The sequence below is a fragment of the Homo sapiens genome, chromosome 11 (genome assembly GCF_000001405.40).
Source record: "Homo sapiens chromosome 11, GRCh38.p14 Primary Assembly".
Lineage (NCBI taxonomy): Eukaryota > Metazoa > Chordata > Mammalia > Primates > Hominidae > Homo > Homo sapiens.
In genome coordinates, this window is record NC_000011.10 from 70,791,018 (window position 1) to 70,812,741 (window position 21,724).

Below are 21,724 nucleotides of genomic sequence, written 5' to 3' on the forward strand. Positions count from 1 at the left end.
CTGCTGACCAGAAGAGACCACACTGGGTGGCTACTGGGCAGGAAAAAAACCTGCACTCCATTAAGCCACTGAAGTTGTGGGTTCACTTGTCGTAGCAGCTGACATTGAGCTACCTAATACAAATGGGTGGAAAGCTTTAGAGTCTTGACAAAAGCCAGACCTTCCAACTCCTAACTGATCAAGTGCAACACCACCCAACCTCCTTTTCACAAACGCGGTGGGCCAACTGACATGCACTCTGTCCTGGATAGGCACCATGCAGGGCACAGGTGTCCCTGCCCTCAGAGAGCCTAAACTCCAGCAGGATGGGGTGAGGACATGCATGTAATTAAGCACCAATTTTCTAGAGCACCATCTTCCAAGATGCATCTCCTCTTGCATATAATAACAACATAGTCATATGTGGCACTTAGCTCTCAGGTCTCTGGGCTGATGCATGCAAAGAAGTGAGATTTTATAAATCTGGGCATGCCTCTGTCTCTTACGCACAGAAACAAAAAAGCTATGATCATAAACTTCCACCCAACTCTTCATACGCATCATCTCCAGGCTTCACATTTCAGATAAAGAAGTCTACTCAGAGCTAGCCAGAGACAGCTGAGCTGAGAATAGACCCGGATATGTTTCTGTTTCCCCATTGCCTCAGGTGGATGTGCAGGAGGATTAATCACTGGCAGTCACACCAGGATCACCACCCTGATCACTGCATGAGAAACACTGTCCTGATGCAGGTACAGGTCACAGCTCAAGCATCAGTAGTTACAAATAATGGGTCATAGTCCCTGCCCAGTAACTCCCTATCTGTGTGCTCCGACATGCTGAGATGGGGATGCTCATGTGTACAATGCAGGTGATGATTCCTGCCCTACTTATTCCAGAAGGTTGGATGAGACAGCATGCAGGAAAGCCCACTGGAGACTGTGAAGTCCCATAAACATGCAGCCTTAAGAAATTACAACTAAGGCTCAGGTGAGTAAGCCCACTATATCTTGAAGGCATAACTACCAAACTATTCATGGAACTAAGCTGAACTTGTATCATTTGACCAACCATCCATCCAACCAACAAACCAATCAGCCAGCCAGCTAACCAACCAACCAACCAACCAACCAACTAACCAATCAGTCAGTCAGCCAACTAGTTAATCAACCAACCAACCAGTCAGCCAGACAGCTAATCAACCAACCAACCAACCAACCAACTAATCAGTCAGCTAGACAGCTAATCAACCAACCAACCAACCAGCCAGCTAGCCAGCCAGCCAGCCAAGCAATCAATCAACCAACCAACCAACCAACCAACCAACCAACCAACCAACCAACCAACCAGCAAGCCAGCTAGCTAATTAACCAACCAACCAACCAACCAGCCAACCAGCCAACCAACCAACCAACCAACCAACCAACCAACCAACCAACCAACCAACCAACGAGGACCACCATTTGATTTTGCTGTTTGTTATCCCCAACCTCCAGCAACTGTCATGAGGCTATGAGAATTCACTGGGTCCTGAGCAGCCACTTCTTTACTGAGTTATTCATTCTGTGAGTCACTCACTTATTTCATTTAATGTTCATGAATGGAGTTTACCAACTAAATGTTCATTTTACAACATAAAGCAATGGTGCTCCATAAAAGAGAAACAGCTTCCAAGGGTGCAAGCAAGGTCTACTGTGTAGAAAGAGCTTGGTGGATGGGAACATCTAAAAACATTTTGTACCATCTTCCAGATTCTATGTATATCCAAAGTCTTCTAATTTTCAGCATCAAAAAAAGCTACAAAAAGGGCCAGGCATGGTGGCTCACACCTACAATCCCAGTATTTTGGGAGACCGAGGCAGGAGGGTCACTTGTGCCTAGGAGTTCAAGAACAGCCTGGGCAACATAGTGAGAACTCGTCTCTACAAAAAAATACACTAATAAAATAAATTTTAAAATAAGGCAGGAGAATCATTTGAGACTGGGAAGTCAAGGCATGTAATGAGCCCTGATGGCACCACTGCATTCCCACCTCGATGACACAGCAAGACCCTGACTCAAAAGAAAAAAGTGACAAAAAGCACTAACGTGGAAGAAAAAAAGAATAATTTGGATTAGATTCAAAATTTTAAAAACCCTTCTACTCATTAAAAGACATACAGTTGACCCTTGAACAACATGGGTTTGAACTGCATGGGTCAACTTACATGTGGATTTTTCAACTAAATATAGATTGAAAACACAATATTCGTGTGAAATAAAACCTGCATATACAGAGGGCTGACTTCACATACACAGGTTCCATGGAGATGACTGTGGGACTTGAGGTGGATTTTGGTATATGATGTGAGGTGGTGGTGTCCTGGAACCAATCCCCACGTATACTGAGAGATGACTGTAGTTAGAAAATGAAAACGCAAGTCACAGGCTGGGAAAAATGTTTGCAGCATATATTTGACAAAGGACTGATAAACAGAATATATAAAGAACTCCTACAAACCAATAAGGAAAAGATGAACACTGCCATTAAAAATGAACCAAAGACTTAAAGAAGCTATACATACAGCAAATGAGCACACAAAGAGATGCCTAATCATCATCCCCAGAAAAATGCAAATTACACCCACAATAAGATATCATTTCATATCTATTAGAACAGCTGAAGTTAAACAGACTGATATTGCCAAATGTTGATGAGAAAGTGGAGCAACTGGAACTCTCACACACTGCCGGTAGGAGAACAAAATGGGACAGCACTTTGGAGAACTGTGTGGTAGTTTCTTATAAAATGAAAATGTTATCATACAACCCAGCAGTTTTCTACCTAGAGAAATAAAAATGTATGTCCTTAAAAAGACTCACACAAAAACCTTTTTTAGCAGGTTCATTCATATTAGCCAAAACTGAGAAGCAATCCACATGTCCATCATCAGGAGAATGATCAAACTGTGGTGTAAATACACCATAAAACACTAGCCAGCAATAAACATTTATAAACTGCTGTCTGGGCATGGTGGATCATGCCTGTAATCCCAGCATTTTGGGAGGTCAAGGCAGGTGGATCCCTTGAGGTCAGGAGTTCAAAACCAGTCTGGCAAACATGGTGAAATCCCCTCCTTACTAAAAATACAAAAATCAGCCAGGTGTGGTGGTGGGAGCCTGTAATCCCAGCTACTAGGGAGGCTGAGGCATGAGAATCACTTGAACTCTGGAGTGGGAGTTTGCAGTGAGCTGAGATGGTGCCACTGCACTCCAGTCTGGGCAACAGAGACTCCGTCTCAGAAAAAAAAAAAAAAACAACATATAAACCACTGAGTCCTGCAATACATAGCTGATATCACAGGCATTAGGCTGAGGGAAAGAAGTTGGGCCCGAGAGTACAAGTTGCAGGGTCTCATCTACATGAAATCCAGTGATAGGCAAAATCTATGGTGACAGAAATCTATGGTCTATGGTGACAGAAATCAGAACCACACTTGCTTCCGGTGTGGGATGGGGAGGGATGGCTGGAAGACAGCCTGAGATCACTTCCTGGGGTGAAAGAAAGGTGTTTTTAAAAATTATTTTATATATTTTTTGAGATGGAGTTTTGCTCTTGTCACCCAGGCTGGAGTGCAATGGTGCGACCTTGGCTCACTGCAACCTCCACCTCCCAGGTTCAAGTGATTCTTATGCCTCGGCCTCCCAAGTAGCTGGGATTACAGGCATCACCATCATGCCCAGCTAATTTTTGTATTTTCAGTAGAGACAGGTTTCACCATGTTGGCCAGGATGGTCTCAAACTCCTAACCTCAAGTGATTCACCCGCCTTGGCCTCCCAAGGTGCAAAGATTACAGGCATGAGCCACCACACCTGGCCTGTGAAGGAAGGGTTTAATATCTTATTTGCAGTTGGAGACGTGGGTATATACATTTGTCAAAATGCACTGAACTAGATTTTTCTTATAATCTGTGTGTTTTCCTGTATGTAAATCACACCTCTATAAAAGAAGATAATACAAAAGAAGGTGCTAAGTCACGATCTTAGAACACCCAAGGGCAAGCAGAACCCAGCAGGAACCACTGTGGAATCCTCCCCGCCCTCCTCGACTCCTCTGTGCTGTGATCTTGGTGTACCTCCTTCCATCCCAGGTCACAGAGATGCCTTCCTTCCCTGACCCACAGCCTTTGTGTTAGAGGAGAGTTCTGATGTTCATTTTTGCCATCTGTGTTAGGGAGAAAGATGGCTCCTCCCTAGGATGCCCAGGTCCTAATCCCTAGAACCTGTGAATATGCTCCCTTAAGGCAAAAGGGAATTAAGGTTGCAGGCAGAATTAAGGCGGCCCATCAGTTTACTTGACCTGGATTAGCAAGGTGGGCCCATCTAATCACATGGGTTCTTTTCTTTTCTTTTTTCTTTTCTTTCTTTTTCTTTTTTTTTTTTTTTTGAGATGGAGTCTTGCTATGTTGCCCAGGCTGGAGTGCAGTGGTGCAATCTCAGCTCACTGCAACCTCCGCCTCCCAGGTTCAAGCAATTTTCCTGCCTCAGCCTCCCGAGGAGCTGGGACTACAGGTGCATGGCACCATGTCCGGCTAATTTTTGCATTTTTAGTACAGACAGGGTTTCACCATGTTGGCCAGGCTGGTCTCGAACTCCTAAACTCAAGAGATCTGCCCACCTCAGTCTCCCAAAGTGCTGGGATTACAGGTGTGAGTCACTGCACCTGGCCATAATCACACAGGTTCTTAAAAGTGGAAGAAGAGGAGGCAGAAGGGAGGGTTGGAGAGATGCAATGGAAGAAGGACCCTACCAACAGGTGCTGGCTTTGGAGACGGAGGAAGGGGCCATGAGCCAAGGATGTCGGAAAGGCAAGGAAACAAATTCTCCCCCACAGATTGCAGAAAGGAATGCAGCCCTGCTGATGCCCTGACTTTAGCCAAGTGAGACTCACACCCGCATCAGCCCAGGTAGAAAATACGGTTTTATCAAGGACATTGTCCTGGGAGTGTGAGCTGGAGCAAGATCACCCTTCTAGAAACCTCTGTCTTACCCCTTAAATAACCTCCTCCCACAGTAAACACAAACACAAACCACCGCCCCTCTGGAAGCTGCCTGCACAGGATGTACATTTTCTGGCAGACTCCACCTCGCCCACCTGCCCTGGGTGGGGACCCTGTCAACGGGGCTAGAGAAAGCCATACGTTCTCATCTAGGGCACACAGGGTGATGCTGGCAGGTGGACGGGAAAAGCCCACAGGAGAGAGGAGGAAGACAGGTTGCTCCAGCTGCCCTGCTTCCTCCTGCACACTATCCTGGAAGCCGCTACTCTCTGGAGGATGGAGAGAGCAGGAAGCTCAAATGATCCCCCTACGCAGCAGCCCTCCAGGACTGCCCCATCCAGGTGTGGCATAGCCAACAAAGCCCGGTGCTGGCACAGTTGAGTCCTTCCAACAAAAGAGTAGAGGGAGGGCAGCCAGTGTGGCTCTGAAGGTGAGTGCCAGGAGAGGGAGGAGTGGTGGCTGCTCAGGAAGAGGAGGACTGGAGGACAGGGAGAAGGAAGGCATTGAGCAACCCTGGGAGGCAAGCTGAGCTCCAGGGCCTGGCCCTTCTCAGACAAGTGAGGCAGGGGAAGGTTGCTTGCAGGAGAGGGTGGGTGTGGACCAGGGGTGGACGGGCAATGGCAGGGCTTGGAGGTCTGGCCTGTGCCAGTGCTCAGTGTGATTGCTGCCCAGTGTAAATCCCGTGTGGTCTACCTGGTTCAACTCTGCTTATCTTGAGGCAACAGGATGCCTGAGGTCAGAAGCTCCCCCTGGTGACCAAAAAGGCTAAGACTAGTGGGATCCAAGATGGCAGCTCACTTGGCTTCTGAAGAACCTCTAACCTCATTACAGTCTGATTTCCATGCTAAATGACCCTCCCCCCAGCACCAGGATAGTTGACAATCACCATGACAACAACAGAAAGAAACCGTAAAAGGACAGAAAGGAAGGCGGCACACCGGTTCTGAGAAGCTCTCTGCCCATTTCCAGAAAAGACATGAATATTCCTCCCCTTGATTTAATGCCCAATCCCTTTATTACAGAGGCCCCAGCTCTGTGACTTCCCAGCCCTCGGGAGCTGATAAATGGATCTGTGAGCCAAGCTCCCGCTTCTCGGTTCCATGGCCAACAAATAAAGCCTGTGCTGCTTGAAGCTCACTTTTGCTTTTGGATACTGGCTGTGTAGCACACAACAGAGAAAGACCCCATTCTTGGGAAGACCAGCTTTGTTGGTAACATTGTCATCGCCACATCCAGAAAAACACACTCCCTCCCACCCAGCCTTCCGAGTGGAGCACATTCCCAGCTTCTCCTTCATAGTTAAGTTTGGGACATGTCTTAACTCAATACCCCACAATACCGTCTGGTGTCTAAGCCTGAGCAGGGACTCATCAGCAGGGAAGCTGATGCACGAACTGAGTCCCCGTTGAAGCCAAGATCTCAGACAGAAAACCTACTGAGCCTCCCTGCTAGAGACTGCAAAGCCAGCCAGGTCCAGGACAGACTCCTCCTTGCTTTCCAGAACACACGTTTGTAGGGCCTGGCTGGCCCTGGCAGATCTGATCAGGCGGCAGAGGGCTACCTAGTGAGCCCACAGACTAGGAACCTCAAAAACAGGGCAATGGGCCCGTTTGGACAGAGCTCAGAGGCGGCAGGCTCCGCACAAGAAGGCGTGCATGGTTGGTGGCCGCAGCGTCCGTGGCCACTTGACACGTGTTCTGTGAGCCTGGGATTCTACTAAAAGCCAGATGCCGTTCACATGCGGACTGCTTTCTTCTTATAAGACACTTAAGGCTTCACTTTTCCTCCACTCTCATACACACACACACACACACACACACACACACACACACACTCGGTACCATTTTATATAAGTGGTCTCCTCTTCACATTTTAATCAGTTCAATCTCTCGGCAATCAATTTTGAAACGATTTTCAGCAAGTGCTATATCTGGAGGTTCTAAGAGAGATGCTGGAATGGCTTCCCGTCGGAACACTGAACTCTTTCGAGCAGTTTTTACGGAGGCGTTTGCTACGTGTTCTCAGGGCGGCACAGGAGCATCTCGCCTGCACATGGGAAGCTGCCTGTTTTATGCCATCGATAGAAGAGATCGAAAAAGAAATCTAATCAACCCCCAAAAGTCTCTCTCTGATGGCTAGAACATACGGTCCAGGTTTTCTGGGACGTGTACTGAGCAGCCTTTTAACTAAAAGCTTCCACACCATCTTGTAAGGAATTTCTGGTTTGGATGAAGCCCAGAGGAATGAAAGCAACCAACCTGTTTCCAAAGATCTAGAAAGTCCTGAATTCGCAACTCAGCCTCCCTCTACGACGCAACGGCCGAATCTTGCCACGGACAACACCGACCACGGGCCTGAGATAGGCCTGCAGGATCGAGGGTGGGCGGCCACGAGCGCTCGCCTTACCTGCCTGGCTGTCCCTGGGCTTACACTGGACCTCCTCCACGCACTCCGCCGGAAACCATCCGATGTGGCCGCGGGCGCTGCCTTCCCAGAAGCCCCCTTCACCGATGCTCAGAACTAGAGACGACAAAAAGGGAGAGGTGTTAGCAGGGGGGACGTGGAGGGCCTGAGGTTGAACAAGACGAGTGGGGCTGGGCAGAGGCAGGAGAATCAGCGCACCCCTGGCCAGGCCTGCAGAGCAAGCGGCTCTGGTGTGACTGCACTTCCTTCAGCTGCTGACAGTGCTAAGAGGCACCGGGGCATCACCACTGCAGACCACAGGTGCCCTGTGCCCCTTAGGTGATGAGACAGGAATGAAGCACTGACATGTTTGCATCTTTACGTATCTGACACCACGTCATATGAATGGATGTGCACGGCGGCCCTGTAGCATCTCTCAGTGTTGCACATGAGACAGGACAGTGGTGCTTGGCTGTCCTTACCATCAATGATTTCAGATATAAAAGTGGAGTCGGGGGGCACCGCCACAAAGCAGGGAGGAAATGATGAGGTCGTACCTTCCCCTCCTAAGCTGGGCAAGAACCGGAGGCAGATGGCCTGGAGGAAAGAAAATCCACCTGCCCGGCTCTGTCTGGATCTTCTAAACAAGCGTGCGGAAGGAGAAATCACAGCAGAGGTCTGGGCGCGGTGGCTCATGCCTGTAATCCCAGCACTTTGGGGGGCCGAGGGGAGTGGACCCTCTGAGGTCAGGAGTTCAAGACCAGCCTGGCCAACATAGCCAAACCGCGTCTCTACTAAAAATACAAAAATTAGCTGGGCATGGTGGCCCATGCCTGTAATCTCAGCTACTCGCTCAGGAGGCTGAGGCAGGAGAATCACTTGAACCCGGAAGATGGAAGTTGCAGTGAGCCAAGATTGTGCCACTGCACTCACAGCCTGGGTGACAGAGTGAGACTCCATCTCAAAAAAAAAAGAAAGAAAAAGAAATCACAGCAGAGGATGGGCGAGCAGCTCACGAATCATCTGACAATGGTGTGGACGTGGAATTATCTTCACTTAAAATGGAAGAAACTGCACTAAAAACCTCACACAGTCAGCACCAGCCCCTTGGAGGCCTGGCCCACAGGCATGCTGGCTTATTAATCAGGAACCTATTCATTACGTGGTTGCTGGCAAGGACTGCAGTTTTCTTTCTGACTTGTGGTTGAAAGAAGCCAATTCCCCAGGAGAGAAGGGATGGTGGCCACACAGTGACCCTGTCCTGGGGACCACGCACATCACTGGACAGACACGGCCACCCCAGCCTACAGGGTGGAAGTTGCTGAGTCCAGACACAGGCATCCCTCCCCAGCCCATGTACTGGGTACACAGTAGGCCCTCAATGAACATCCGCTGGAAGAATAAAGCATGTTTGTTTTTAAACTCAACTGCTGAGCATGGGTGAGGGACATAAGCCCAAAGACACCATGGGGTGGGGGCAAGGTCAGGAGGACCCCGCCGGTCCCCATGGCCCTACTGTGATAACTATTTCTGTCATAAAGCTTGCAGTGGCAAAGTGAGGAAGGAAAATCTTTATATCTTAGGGTTTTTTTTTTGTTTTTTGTTTTTTTTAGAGGCTTTGTCACCCAGGCTGAAGTGCAGTGGTGTCATCACAGCGCACTGCAGCCTTGACTCCCAGGCTTAAGTGATCCTCCCACCTCAGCCTCCTGAGTAGCTGGGATGACAGGCGTGTACCACGACACCTCATTATTATTATAATTACTTTTTTTAGAGACAGGGTCTCACTATGTTGCCCAGGCTGGTTTCAAAACCCTAAGCTCAAGCAATCACCTGCCTCCACCTCCCAAAGTGGTTCGGATGACTGGCGTGAGCCACTGCGCCGGTCTGTATCTTACTTAGGACTTTGGTGCTGGGCCAGGGATGCCCTCAACACCTTCACTCCCTCCTAATGTGTCTAAGCAAGGAGGAAAACAATCTGATTTCTCCACATCTTTACCTTCTTTTAAATTACTCAGGATCCAAAGGCAACAGCCCTGCTGAAAGAGGAATTATGGCCCCATAAGTGTTTTCCTCTAGCCCTCATTTGAATCTCAAAGGCCAGACAGAGAACCACTCAGCCCACGATTTTTGAAGGTTAATGGAACTGAAAACCCCACTTTATAAGTTCCTAATAACCTGAAGAAATGACCTAACTGAAACAGATCAGCCACATCCCAGGTGACCAGGACAATCATCACTGCCTGAAGCATCTCCTCCAAAACTCGATGCAGGGCCTGTGGGCTCCTCTCAGCCCAGCTGGCCGGGATGTGCCTCACAGTTTCCCAGCAGAACCCTGGACCTGAGAGGGTCATCTCAGAGCAGTAACCCCGGGCTGCAAAGGGAGGCCAAGGACTTGCTGCTGCGCCACCAGGAGCCAGTGCCCACAGATACCCACACTCTCCTTCCTTCACGGCTGTGAGGTCATTCTGCTGTTTTATATGGGCCTGGGGAGAAGGGAACTGCATAGGTAGAGATTGGTATCATCTTCCATGGAAGCTCTGCCCTATCTTAGCTATGTGATGCTTGGGAAAACTCGGTCTCTCTGTACCTCGGTTTCCTCATTTATCAGAGCATGACAATACTATCTAGCTCATAAGTGTTTCTATGCGTGAATCGGAGGCACGTGAGCCCAGTGTGGAATGAGGACTCAACACTCCTGCCTGACTTTCCTTCCAAACTCCCCTCTCCAGGAGAATCACACCTTTTAGTTCCATATTTAATCTCTATGAAGTATGCACTTCAGGATGTGTTATTGTTATTACAAGACCAACCAAAAATATGAAAGGCTGTTTCCAATGGGCTTGTACAAGGAGGCAGAGGTGACGTGCTGCAAGGGGTCCCCCCAACACGGGGAGCCTTCATGTCAGGGGCGTAAAAAGAGCAGGACGTGTGCCGAGGGTGCAGGGGAATGGAGGAGGGGGCCCCTTCTGGGTTTCTGGTTGTGCAAATGGTACCTGCTGGTCCTCTTCAGAGAATGGGGAGCAAGAGAGGGGTTTGTGCCTTGAGTGCCTCCCTGACAGAACATCTGCGTCCAGGTAGGAATGAGTGTTCCTCATATGGTGAGGAAGGGGCTGGGCTTGGCTACCCCATTGTTTGCTGATGCAATTCATTCAAAAGTAAAGACTCCACACCCTGGGTAAGAAGAGGTGGAGGAGAAGAGGAAGTCCCCATCCACCCAGCAGTACAAGAGCGAGCACTGGGCTGGGAGGTGAGAGACTTGGCCCCATCACTGGGATGCTGAGGGATCCCGGGGACTCCTGTTCTCTCTGTGGCCCCACCTACTCCATGTGGAACACTAGGGTGAATTCTGAGAGTGAATTCTGACCAGGCAACCAGGGGAATTCTGGAGTCTGGAGTCCTGCCTTGCTCTTGGGTGCTCTGGCTAGAAAAATTGTCAAGGACCCTGTCCCTGGAGCCCCAGACTTGCAGGGGAATACGGTGTGATAGGACTGACTCTACCACAGAGGATCAGATGAGAATCGTCCCAGCCAAACCGAGGGGCAGGAGGAAGACTACGGAAGCACAGAGGGGGTGCGGCGAGACTTGGGGCAACCCTGCAGGAAGAGGCAGTGCTTTGAATGGTGGGTAGAGAGCAGGTGAAGGCACTGCACCCAGGGCATGAGGACCGGGAGAGGGGCACATACGGCACGGCTGGGGGCCCTGGGAAACCTGGCTAGAAAGAAGGTTCATCCTCAACACCATGTCTGCTCCAACACAGACGATGCTTTAAGGCACCTATGAAAACCAACTGCGGATCTCTCTATGGGCCCCACATGCTTCCTGAGGCCACAGTGGGGATAAGCTTGTTGGAGAAGGGCCAGCTCTGCTGTCCTCACTATGGCCACCACAGTGGGCCGCTCCCTGCCTCAGCAGCTCTCTTGCAAACTGGAAAGCAGCGGTGATTCCCTGTACTGGATGGGTCAGGGGTGGCTCCGACCCCGCTGCTACACTCCACCTTCTCCCCCTTGACCCCAGCCTGGGTACAGAAACCTGCCAGGTCACTGCGGAGGAGGGAGGAACCGAGACCCAGTGTTTCTCCTGTTCTGTACCCAACATGCTGGTTTCTAATGTACCTCTAGGCCATCTTCAATTTCAAACCATGCATGGTGTTCTTGAATCCACATATCCTTCTGCTTAAATTGACACAGGACTTACTTGGGTCAAGGACTGTGCTGGTGTCTGGGGTCACAAAGATGGTGCAGGATTTGGGGCAGACACCTGGAGGAGCTTCAGAAAAGGAGGATGGCCTTACTGTCCACCTACCTAATGTCACAGAGCAAAAACGCTGGCGCCCCCTGTGCCCCCACCCCCCAGCATTGGCAATGCTATGTCATGGGCTTAGTTTTTTGCTTGCCAGAATGGGGGCTTGCAGTAAGCAGGGTCAATCATCACTGCTTCCCTAGGCCTCACCCATGGCCACGAACCCTCAGGGGTTCACTGTGTGTCTGTTAAATAAATGAACCCCTAAAATGACCACGCTCACTGTGCTACGTGCTGCATCAGAGGCCTGTGTGGCCTGGGCCAAAAAGTAGAGAGGGAGCGTGGCAGGTGGGGGCGAGGACACTCCCAGAGGAAGGGACATGGCAGCCGAATCCTGAAGGAGGAGCTGATGGGAAGACACAGGGATAGCTGCTGTTTGGGCAGAGGAAAAGCAGGATGGAAGCATGGTGGTGAGAGCGTGGGACAAAACACACACTGCTATTTAGAAAACTCTGTCATTCTTTCACGCTGCCATGCACTCACTCACTCACCACCTATCCAACTACCCACCTATCCACTCATTCACCCACCTATCAAACTCAACCGCACATCCATCCATCCATCCATCCATCTTCCAGCCTACCCATCCATCCATCTACCCATCCATCCATTTACCTATCCATCCATCCATCCACCCACCCACCCAGCCATCCAGCCATTTCATCCATCCATCATCTATCCCATTCCAAGCACTGTGTCACATGCTTGGGAAACAAACAAGAAGAAGACAAAGTCCTGCCTGCAGAGGGTCTACAATCCGTCACAGTCAGGAATGCTGCAAAATCACCTGAGGAGCTTGTTAACTATTCAGATTCCCAGGCTGTGTCCTTGGAGACACAATTCTGCAGATGTAGGGATGGATGGCCAGGAGATCTGCACATTTAACAAACTCCTCTCATGTCTCAGATGCAGGGACTTCGGGAAGAGAGGCTGAGAAACTGCACTCAGGTACACAGCTTGGACAGGAGCCTCTGGCTCAGGAGCCTGATGCTGGATCTCGCATAAAGAACTATCGGGAGTGGAGGGAAGAATGTGCCAGGCACAGTGAAGGACAAAGAAGAGCCCTTGAATTAAAAAAAAAAAAAAAAGGAGCGTCAGTGGGGGAATCGGAACATGTACACACCTATTTTTGGGCACCCCTTATTTTAGAAGAAAAATGTTGGGGTATGTTTTCCCAGGTACATGGTATGCAACTGTCTACTGGGAACGTCAACCCCTTCCCAAATGGGACCGAGCGGAGGAGATGTAAATTAACCTTCTGAAAGAGCCAGGAGCAGCAGTGTTATCAGCAGGACCCCAGGGCCACCCTGGGGCCCGTCACAGCCACCCTGCCTGCCTGCTGCCCAGACCCGACTTCCACTGCAAAAAATGAGTTTGGTTTCTCTGGAAACCCTCCCAGACCTGCCCCTGCCAGCCAGGCAGCTGGGTTTCCTGCCCACAATGATTGTTCCCTTGATATCAAGGGGACAGAATTCCTCCAAACGGCCTTGGCTCTGCAGGCAGTGGATCGGCTCGACCCGCCCGCCTCTAAGCACTGCCATGCAGGCAGCAAGGATGTGCGGGCCACCCCACGATGGGGAGGAGGCACCGACAGCTCGGCAGGAAGGAAGAGCGGTGCCACTGGCAGCAGGAAGGGGCTCCGTGCCAATTGTGTGCAAATGGCCTGCGCGGCCCACTCGAATCTCTTTTCAGAACAGCAGTCCTTTGCCATCGATCCTTTGAAGTGTGAGTTTTGGAACCGAGCTCTGTCATTTCTGTTCTCCCTGGGAGAAAGGCCCAGCTCCCCGCACGCCCCACGCTCCTGCGAGGGGCGGGTTCCAGTCTGGTCATGTTTGAGGAGGTGCTGCTGGGTTCCAGTGTGCTGGGGAGGGGCAGAGAGGCTGAGGAGGCCCAGTCCTGGGGCCTGGATAGGAGTCACGTGACCTCCCTTCTTTCCTTTGTTGAATCATTCTATCAAACCCAGGGAGTTGGACAGGGGAAGGCCCCCCCAGAGCTTCTGGGAATTAAGGTGTGAGATGTGGATTCGCCTGCCATGTCCCAGGACCCCTGCGAGTCCTGGGTCCTCAAGTCTGCCTACCACTGCCAGCCTGTGGGAGACTCGGATCCACTGATGGGGCTCATCACCGGCTCCCCCTCTCCCTTGAGCTCCTGCTCATCCATGCTGCTACTCAGGGTCCCCTCTAAGGGACTCTCAGCTGTTTAGTGCCCACTCCCATGGGCCTCTGCTCTATGTCTAAGGGACTGGGGACATGTGCCAAGTTCACAGCATGGGAGCCTGTCTGCAGCTCTGCCCCTCTCGGAGCATGGGTCAGTATGCCTGAGTGAGTCCACAGATGCCCAGCCCCAGGCTCTAGGTTCATCTTCACAGGCCTCTCTGCCCCTTTGGAAGTCCAGGACTAACCTGGCTGCCCTACAGGAACTGCCAGCCGCACCCCAGCCTTCTCCTTGGGCATCAGTGAGCTCCAAAGCAGGACTCACAGAGGAGCAGCTCCCACCCTCCGACCCCTGAGCCCCAGGCTTCTCCTCTTTACAATAGGGACAGGCCTGGACAAGAAGACCGTGTGTCCCTTCCTGCTCTGGAGAGACAGTGAGCTTCCTTGGCTCCCACTTGGGCCTAGGGGGTGGCCCTGAGTGTGCAGACCGGTCAGAAAACACTCTCTAACTAGGAACTTCAGCTCTCACTTCCTAGAACGGGGTTGCTAACAAGGCCGGCATCGGCCCTGATCCCTGCACAGATGGCCCCTCTTGCTCCCCCACTGCGGGGCCTTAACATCCTTGTCACCCGACATCTCAGGGCTGGCCTCAGTGGGGAGGAGGGAAGGTGGCTCTCAGCACTAGTCCTCAGAGAGACAGCCAAGTTGATGGGGTAAGTGTGAAGGATTTTAAAGTGGCAATTACACCAACCTACAGTGTTGTAAAAACAAAACAAAAAACTAAGTTTTTAATGAACAAAAAAATCTCAACAAGGTAATAGGAGATCTTGGCAAATAAAAGGCAACAATAAAAACAGATAAACAGAAAAGCTAGCAAACATGATTTATGAAATTATAAAACTCAAAAGACGGACTTAACAGCTACAGGGACATTTCAAAGGAAAGGGTAAGTGAACTTAAACAATAACCAATAGAAATGATCTAATGTAAAGAAAAATGACTGAAAAAAATGAATAGAGCTCCAGGGACTTGTTTGATGCTATCAAATGATGAAATATGTGTGCAGCAGAAACACTGGCCATCAGGCAAGAGGGCGGGGCTCTGCCATCATTAGAATGTTGCAGTAACCCAGGTCAAGCTGACCTGATCAGTGTGTCGCGCAGAGAAAGGAACTGAGTCAATTACCTGCTGGGGGCCAGGAGGCAGCCAGCTGGGGAAGGCGGGATTTGAACCGGGCCTACTGACCTCTAAGGGCCGCACCTTCCACCCATGCCACTCCAATGGCAACCTGCCCTCCAATGGCAAGGCCCTCCAATGGCAGGGCCCGGCATGCTGCCCTCCAATGGCGGGGCCCGGGCATGCTGGCCACGTGTGCTAGGCCTTTCTTGCTCCACCCAGTGAGTTCCTACCACCCCACACAACCTCCGCAGCCCACACCTGCCATGTTGCTTCTGCTGTGTGCCTCAGATGACACCACTGCCAACTTCCCTCCAACCCTACTTTTATCTTCCTGCAGTGCTTCACACACCTGACTTCCCCCTGGGCAGAAACCATCACTGGCTCCCCAATACCCCAGGAACAATGTCTAACCCCTTCTTGACCTGGTGTTGACAATGGCCCCCCCAGAGGCTTCTCAACGCTGGTTCTCAGGATTCTGCTTTGAGAATCTTTCCTTCCAACCTGGTAGAATTCCTTCCTTTGAACACTGCAGGCCCCGGGCCTCAGGTCACACCGGACCATCTACCTGGAGACCCCAAAGCCGACCCATGCCAGGGCCCACCCCGACACTTCAGACTTAGGGGATGGAAAGGAGCTCTGCTCTTCGATGCCCTCATCTGGCTCCCCCACTGCCCTTCTCAAGTGGAATCTCATTCCCAGTGGACGTGTCCCCTTCGATCCCTGAGACCCAGCACTGGGGAAGCCGCAGCAGCTCCCTGGAGAGTGAGGGAAAGGGTCTGGGAACGTCACTCTGTTCCCCATTCCTGCCCTTCCAGGGGCCCGTGTTTTCCATGGAGAAGCACAGCCTTGGACATCGTCCCCACAGCAGGCCGGGTGAAGGGCCCCAGCCTGACCTCACTCCAGGAGCGGAGGACAACCAGCAGACACTGACCTTTGACCCTGTCACCGCGGTGAAGGGGGATCTCGCCGTCCACTTGGGGTTGGTATGGCTTGACAGCGACGAAGAGCCTCCCGGGCACGGCACTGTAGAGCTTCCGCTTGGGCCCCGGGTACTCGAAGGCCGAGAGTGAGTCCTTGTTGGCACCAAGAGCAAAAGGCGACCTGGACCAGGTGAGAGGGGCAGAGAGAGAGAGAGCAGAGTCACAAGGTCACAAGCCACATGCCACAAACCACAGCCAAGCCATTCAACGCATGCTGCGCCTCGGCTGGCCGCATCAGAACTCCTGATGCCAGACAGGAAGATGGGAACAGGCCGGGGCAGCACTGTGGTCAGAGGCTCAGGCAGATCCAACAATCCCACTCGCAGGTCTGCCCCGCACAGACAGAAAGCTGCCACTCGGGGAGACGTCTGCACACCTGCGTTCACAGTGGCACCGTTCACAGCAGCCCAAGGGTCCCTCCACAGAATGGAGAGACACAGGGTGGTCCAAACATACAATGGAACGCTGTTTAGCCTCCATCAGGAATTAAACTCTGGGCCAGGCGTGGTGGGATCACATCTGTAATCCCAGCACTTTGGGAGGCTGAGGTGGGCAGACCACCTGAGATCACGAGTTCGGGACCAGCACGGCCAACATGGTGAAACCTCGTTGGTACTAAAAATTCAAAAAATAGCAGGGTGTGGTGGTGAGCACCTGTAATCCGGGCTACTGGAGAGGCTGAGGCAGGAGAATTGCTTAAACCTGGGAGGCGGAGGTTGCGGTGAGCCAAGACTGCACCATTGCACTCCAGCCTGGGTGACAGAGTGAGACTCTGTCTCCAAAAAAAAAAAGTAAACTGTGACACAGGCTACACCATGGGTGAACCTTGGGGACACTGCTCAGTGAGATACACCAGACACAAAAGAACACAGACTGTGTGATCCCAGCCATGCGAGGGCCCGAGAGCAGTCAGATTCATGGACACAGAAAGTAGAATGGCGGGTGCCGGGGGCTGGTGGAGAGAATGGGGAGTGAGGGTTCAATGGGGACAGAGTTTTGGTTTCACAAGATGAGAAGGTTCTGGAGATGGATGGTGGTGATGGCTGCACAGCACTCGAATGTATTCCACTGAACGCCACTGAACTGTGCACTTCAAAATGGTTCTAAGGTGATAAATTTGATGTTACACCTATTTCTCCACTATTTTACTTCATTTTATTTATTTATTTGAGACAAAGTCTCCCTCTGTCACCCACGCGGGACTGCAGTGGCATGATCTCGGCTCACTGCAACCTCTGCCTCCCAGGTTCAAGCGATTCTCCTGCCTCAGCCTCCTGAGTACCTGGGATTACAGGTGCCCGCCACCATGCCTGGCTACTTTTTGTATTTTTAGTAGAGATGCGGTTTCACCATGTTCACCAGGATGGTCTCAAAGTTCTGGCCTCAAATGATCCACCTGCCTCGGCCTCCCAAAGTGCTGAAGTTACAGGTGTGAGACACCGCACCTGGCCTATTTTGCCACTATTTTAAAAAAGACTAGCCTGGGCAACATGATGAAACCCTATTTCTACAAAAAAAAAAAAAAAAAAAAAAAATTGGCCAGGCATGGTGCTGTGCATTTGTGGTTCTCGCTCCTTGGGAGGCTCAGGTGGGAGGATTGCTTGTGGCCAGGAGGTCGCGGCTGCAGTGAGCCATGATTGTGCCACTGCACTCCAGCCTGGGTGACAGAGTGAGATCCTGTCTCAAAAAAACAAAAACAAACAAATCCCAAAGAGACTCAGGTGGAGACAGAAATCCAGGAAGGCCATGGGTGTCCGACACTTCATCCACCTCACTGTGAGCGTCAGTCACACTGGACGAGGAAGCACCCAGGGCCTTCCATCAAAATGGGTCACGACCTCGGTTCTCCCAGTGCAGTTCCCAGCGGCCCCAGCGAACCACGCTAGAGGAACTCATATCCGTTCTTGCTGTATGTCATTGATTTTGCACAGAGCTATGTTTTCAACCTGACTTCTACACCCGACAGTAAGACACACCTTAACAGGGCCCAGAGACAGGACACGCAACACAAAGTACTCTGAGATGCACCTACACAGTGCCAGGACGGGCGTCCTTAGAAACAAACGCATCTACACGGAGGAAGTTGGCCAGAAATTCAGGACGGCCCTCCCGGGCACATGCTCAGAAAGACAGGGAAAGTGTCCACCTGCGGCTGGCATCCTCCAACAGGGCGCCTGGCTGCAGGGAAGCGAGTGGTCTCTGACCATGGTTCCCCTCCCAAACTTTAGGTGCTGTGGCCTCTGAGGCGATGGAGGCAGCATCAGTCTTTCTATGAGGACAGGGAGGAAGGGCCCATGCACACAGGGACCCATGCAAAACAGGCTTGCAGGGAAAGTTCTAGAAGCGGATGTGACTACCCTCTTTTGGCATTTAACATAAGCCTCCCCCTGATCACCTGCCTTCACTACTGTAATCACCCGACTCATGTGTCCCTGATAATTGCCTTATAGTTTGCTCTGTGCTTGTATAAAGTTACAGAAGGGCAATGGGGCTGTATTTAGTTCTGATTCTTACTCCTTCTCTCAGCATTAGGATGGTGAGATCTGGCCATGGGGACCTTACCCATGTCAACGTGTTTGAGGAGCCAGGGCTCCATGTACTCCGATTACTCTGTAGGGAGCAGATTGGGCCTGAATACTCAGTCTGTCTGCCTGACTCCAAATCTCAGATTTGTCCTGAAACCATGGGGAGCAGAGACAGGGCAGGACAGTGGCCTCTTCTGGAACAGGTGGGCGTCTTGGATGCTTACCTGGGCTCTGAGGACATTGAGAGATGGGGGAGGCTGCAAGCAGCTAGGACTTCCCTGTCCCCTGTCCCTAGGGATGCCATTCCTCCCCCAAGTCACAGCCACAAATGTGGCAGTCACAGACTCCTGGGGGCACAGGTGTCTCTGAGCTGTCACTGCCATGCAGCCTGGGCACAATATGGAGCCCACCGGGCACGGTGTGGCACAGCAGTGCATCGATGTGCACAGCCAGGAGAATTCCAAAGGACCACTGTTCCCCATCGATGGACATCATCTATCCCCAAACACCCCAGGAGTTCCTGGAGCAGGAACTCCTGCAAAAGCTAGGTTTGGTGGCCTCCTCTTGTCCAAAGGCATAGCTCAGTGAGCCACCAGGGAGCAGAGGGAAAGGACACTGGGCACTTCCTGCTCTGCAAGGGGAGCTGATGAACGCAACAGCAGCGCTGGGCCAGGCCCCCACCTGAGAGGCTTCCCTGCCAGCCTGCCCAGCCATCTGCACGTGTACCAGCACTCAGACACATTCAACTCAGCCTGACTCAGGCAGGGCTGGACTGGCACAGGACCGAGAGCTGGGAGGGGTGGGAGCCTGTACCGCAGGCACTGAGCGTCTCACGGCTGTCTCCTCTCTGGCTCCCAGGCCAGCAGGGATGCGGGGAGGAGAATCCCGGCAACCAAGGGACTCCAAGGAGAATACAGCACCCCAGGGTCAGAATCCCTCCTCTCCTTGAACTTCCCTTAATGCACCTGCCCACATCTGCCCCGAGTGATGAAGCCAGCAAGGCTGGCGGCCATCATGGGCTCTGTGGACGGCCTGAACCTCCCGTCACTCCCAGGCTGACCTGCCCCAGCTGTGTGACCTTCAGTGAGTCACTTTACCTCTCTGAGCCTTAATTTTCTTATTTGTAAAATAGGTGGTAGAGGGTGGGGGTAGGGCGAATCCCCACCACCTGTGGTTGCTGGGAGACTAATGAGAAAATGCAGATGAGAAGCTCAGTTCCCAGCCCCGCTGCAGCTCCGAGGGCAGTCACTGTCTCTGCATTGACCATTATCCAGGCTGGACCGGCAGCAGCCAGAACACAGGGCTATGCCGACATCATCTCAACCCCCTCTCCTGGCCGGTGATGCGACATGGGCGATTGGAGGAGCTGGATGCATTAGGCCCCATCAGGACTGAAGGTTAGTCCTAGTGATGAGGTCACAGGTGGCCCCAGTGTCCCCTGGGCTGCATGGATGCTCTTCAGCAGGTGGAGTGGCTGCAGGTCAGGTCAGCCCAGCCCCATGATCAGTCCCCAAGCACCCGGATAGGTTGACTCCAGGGGGAGCAAGGTGAGGCTTGTGGGCTTCCTCCCGAGGGGAAAGGGTGGGTCAAAGTCTAGAGGAAAAATCAGATGAACAAGGCTGACAGTAGCTGGGGCAGGGCAGAGGGTGAGCCACAGAGCAGGAGTCACAGGGTCTGTTCACAACTGTTATGTGTCTGACACAGCAGCTGCTTAAGTCCAGAACTTAGGAACCAAATGAGGAGTGCGTCTTCTCAGGATTTCCACACCCAAAGAGCTCCTGCAAGGAACCCCACGGCCCCACTGTGCATCCTCAACAGCAGCCGGCAAGGGACACTGAGCCTGCCCTGCTTGAGAAGTCAGTTAACTTCATCAGAATTAATCCATCCACTCATCTCTTCTTTGTTATCCATCCAGGCCTCCTTGCCCAAATACCTGTTCTTCCATCCATCCACCCACCCACTCATCCACCCACTATCCATCATCGATCCATCCATCCATCCATCTACCCATCCATCCACCCATCCATCCACTCATCATCTACCTATCCATCATCCATCCACTCATCCATCCATCCATCCATCCATCATCTATTCATCCATCCATTCATCCAACATCCATCTACCCATCCATCCACCATTCATTTATCCATCCATCTACCCATCCATTCATCCATCATCTATCCATCCACCATCCAGCCATCCATCCATCATGTATTCATCATCCATCATCCATCTACCCATCCATCCACCATTCATTCATCCATGCATCTACCCATCCACCCATCCATCTTATCATTTTTCTGAACATCTATTCACTCATCTACCCAAAGTTCAGAAAGATCTTGCCTGAAGCCCAGCTGAACACTTACTATCCATCATTGGACAAGTTAGCTACCTCTCAAAGCCTCAACCTCCCCATCAAAAAAGCGGATGATCAGGAGTAACTGTGATAACGCACTCTGCCAGGTGTTATGCAAACATCAGCACCTTCACACTGCCCTGCTGCAGCTGCAAAGTCAGTAACAAAGTGCCTGTCTCACCTCACTGGTCCAGCTGGCACCAGAGTGCGTGTCACTTGACAGAGAAGTCAAAGTGAACACAGCTCCAACCTTGAAGCTCTGTTTCTTGATTCTCTTTGCAGGAATCAGTTCCCTAACCCATCAACCCCAGAGCCTGGGGAACCTTTATCTAAAAACAGGAAAGCCTTATTTCTTCTAGACCAGAGTGGTGTACACGGTTGCAGGCAGTGATTACCGGGCAGTGACATACGGTTCCAGCCAAATGCTCACATGTCTTCTTATTCACTGTTAATTTGAACCTCAAAAAGTCCCACAAAGGCAGAAGGTGAAAACTTTTGTCCCCATTTTACAGGTGAGAAAATGGAGGCTCCATAAATGGTGACTTGGGTATGGAAATACAGAGCTGGTCCTCACATCCTAGCTCGGGGTTCCCTGCTCTGTCTGGTGACAGAATGAGGTGAACAAGATCTCACCTGCTACAAGGTGTCTTATCCTTGTGATGTCTCATTTGATGAACTACATCCTCCTGCCAGGTCCCACTCTTCCCACAGCAGCCATAGTCAGCAGCAGAAGCCAGACCTCTGCAGCCCAGGGAGAAGGGCTGCCCCGCTCAGGAGACATGGCACCCGGGCCACGCTGGGGGTCCC

At 51.6% G+C, this 21,724-nt stretch overlaps 1 protein-coding gene across 23 annotated transcripts in view; it reads right to left on the bottom strand.

Moving 5' to 3' along the window:
• The window catches only part of SHANK2 (SH3 and multiple ankyrin repeat domains 2), a 785,381-nt gene that overhangs the window by 323,164 nt on the left and 440,493 nt on the right, over positions 1-21,724 (bottom strand). For all 23 annotated transcript variants that reach the window (NM_001441030.1, NM_001441032.1, NM_001441037.1 and 20 more), the window contains 2 exons: positions 15,985-16,154; positions 7,426-7,539 (listed from right to left, as the gene is read on the bottom strand). In NM_001441030.1, the coding sequence (NP_001427959.1) occupies positions 7,426-7,539; positions 15,985-16,154 (284 nt within the window). The remainder of the gene's footprint in view (positions 1-7,425; positions 7,540-15,984; positions 16,155-21,724) is intronic.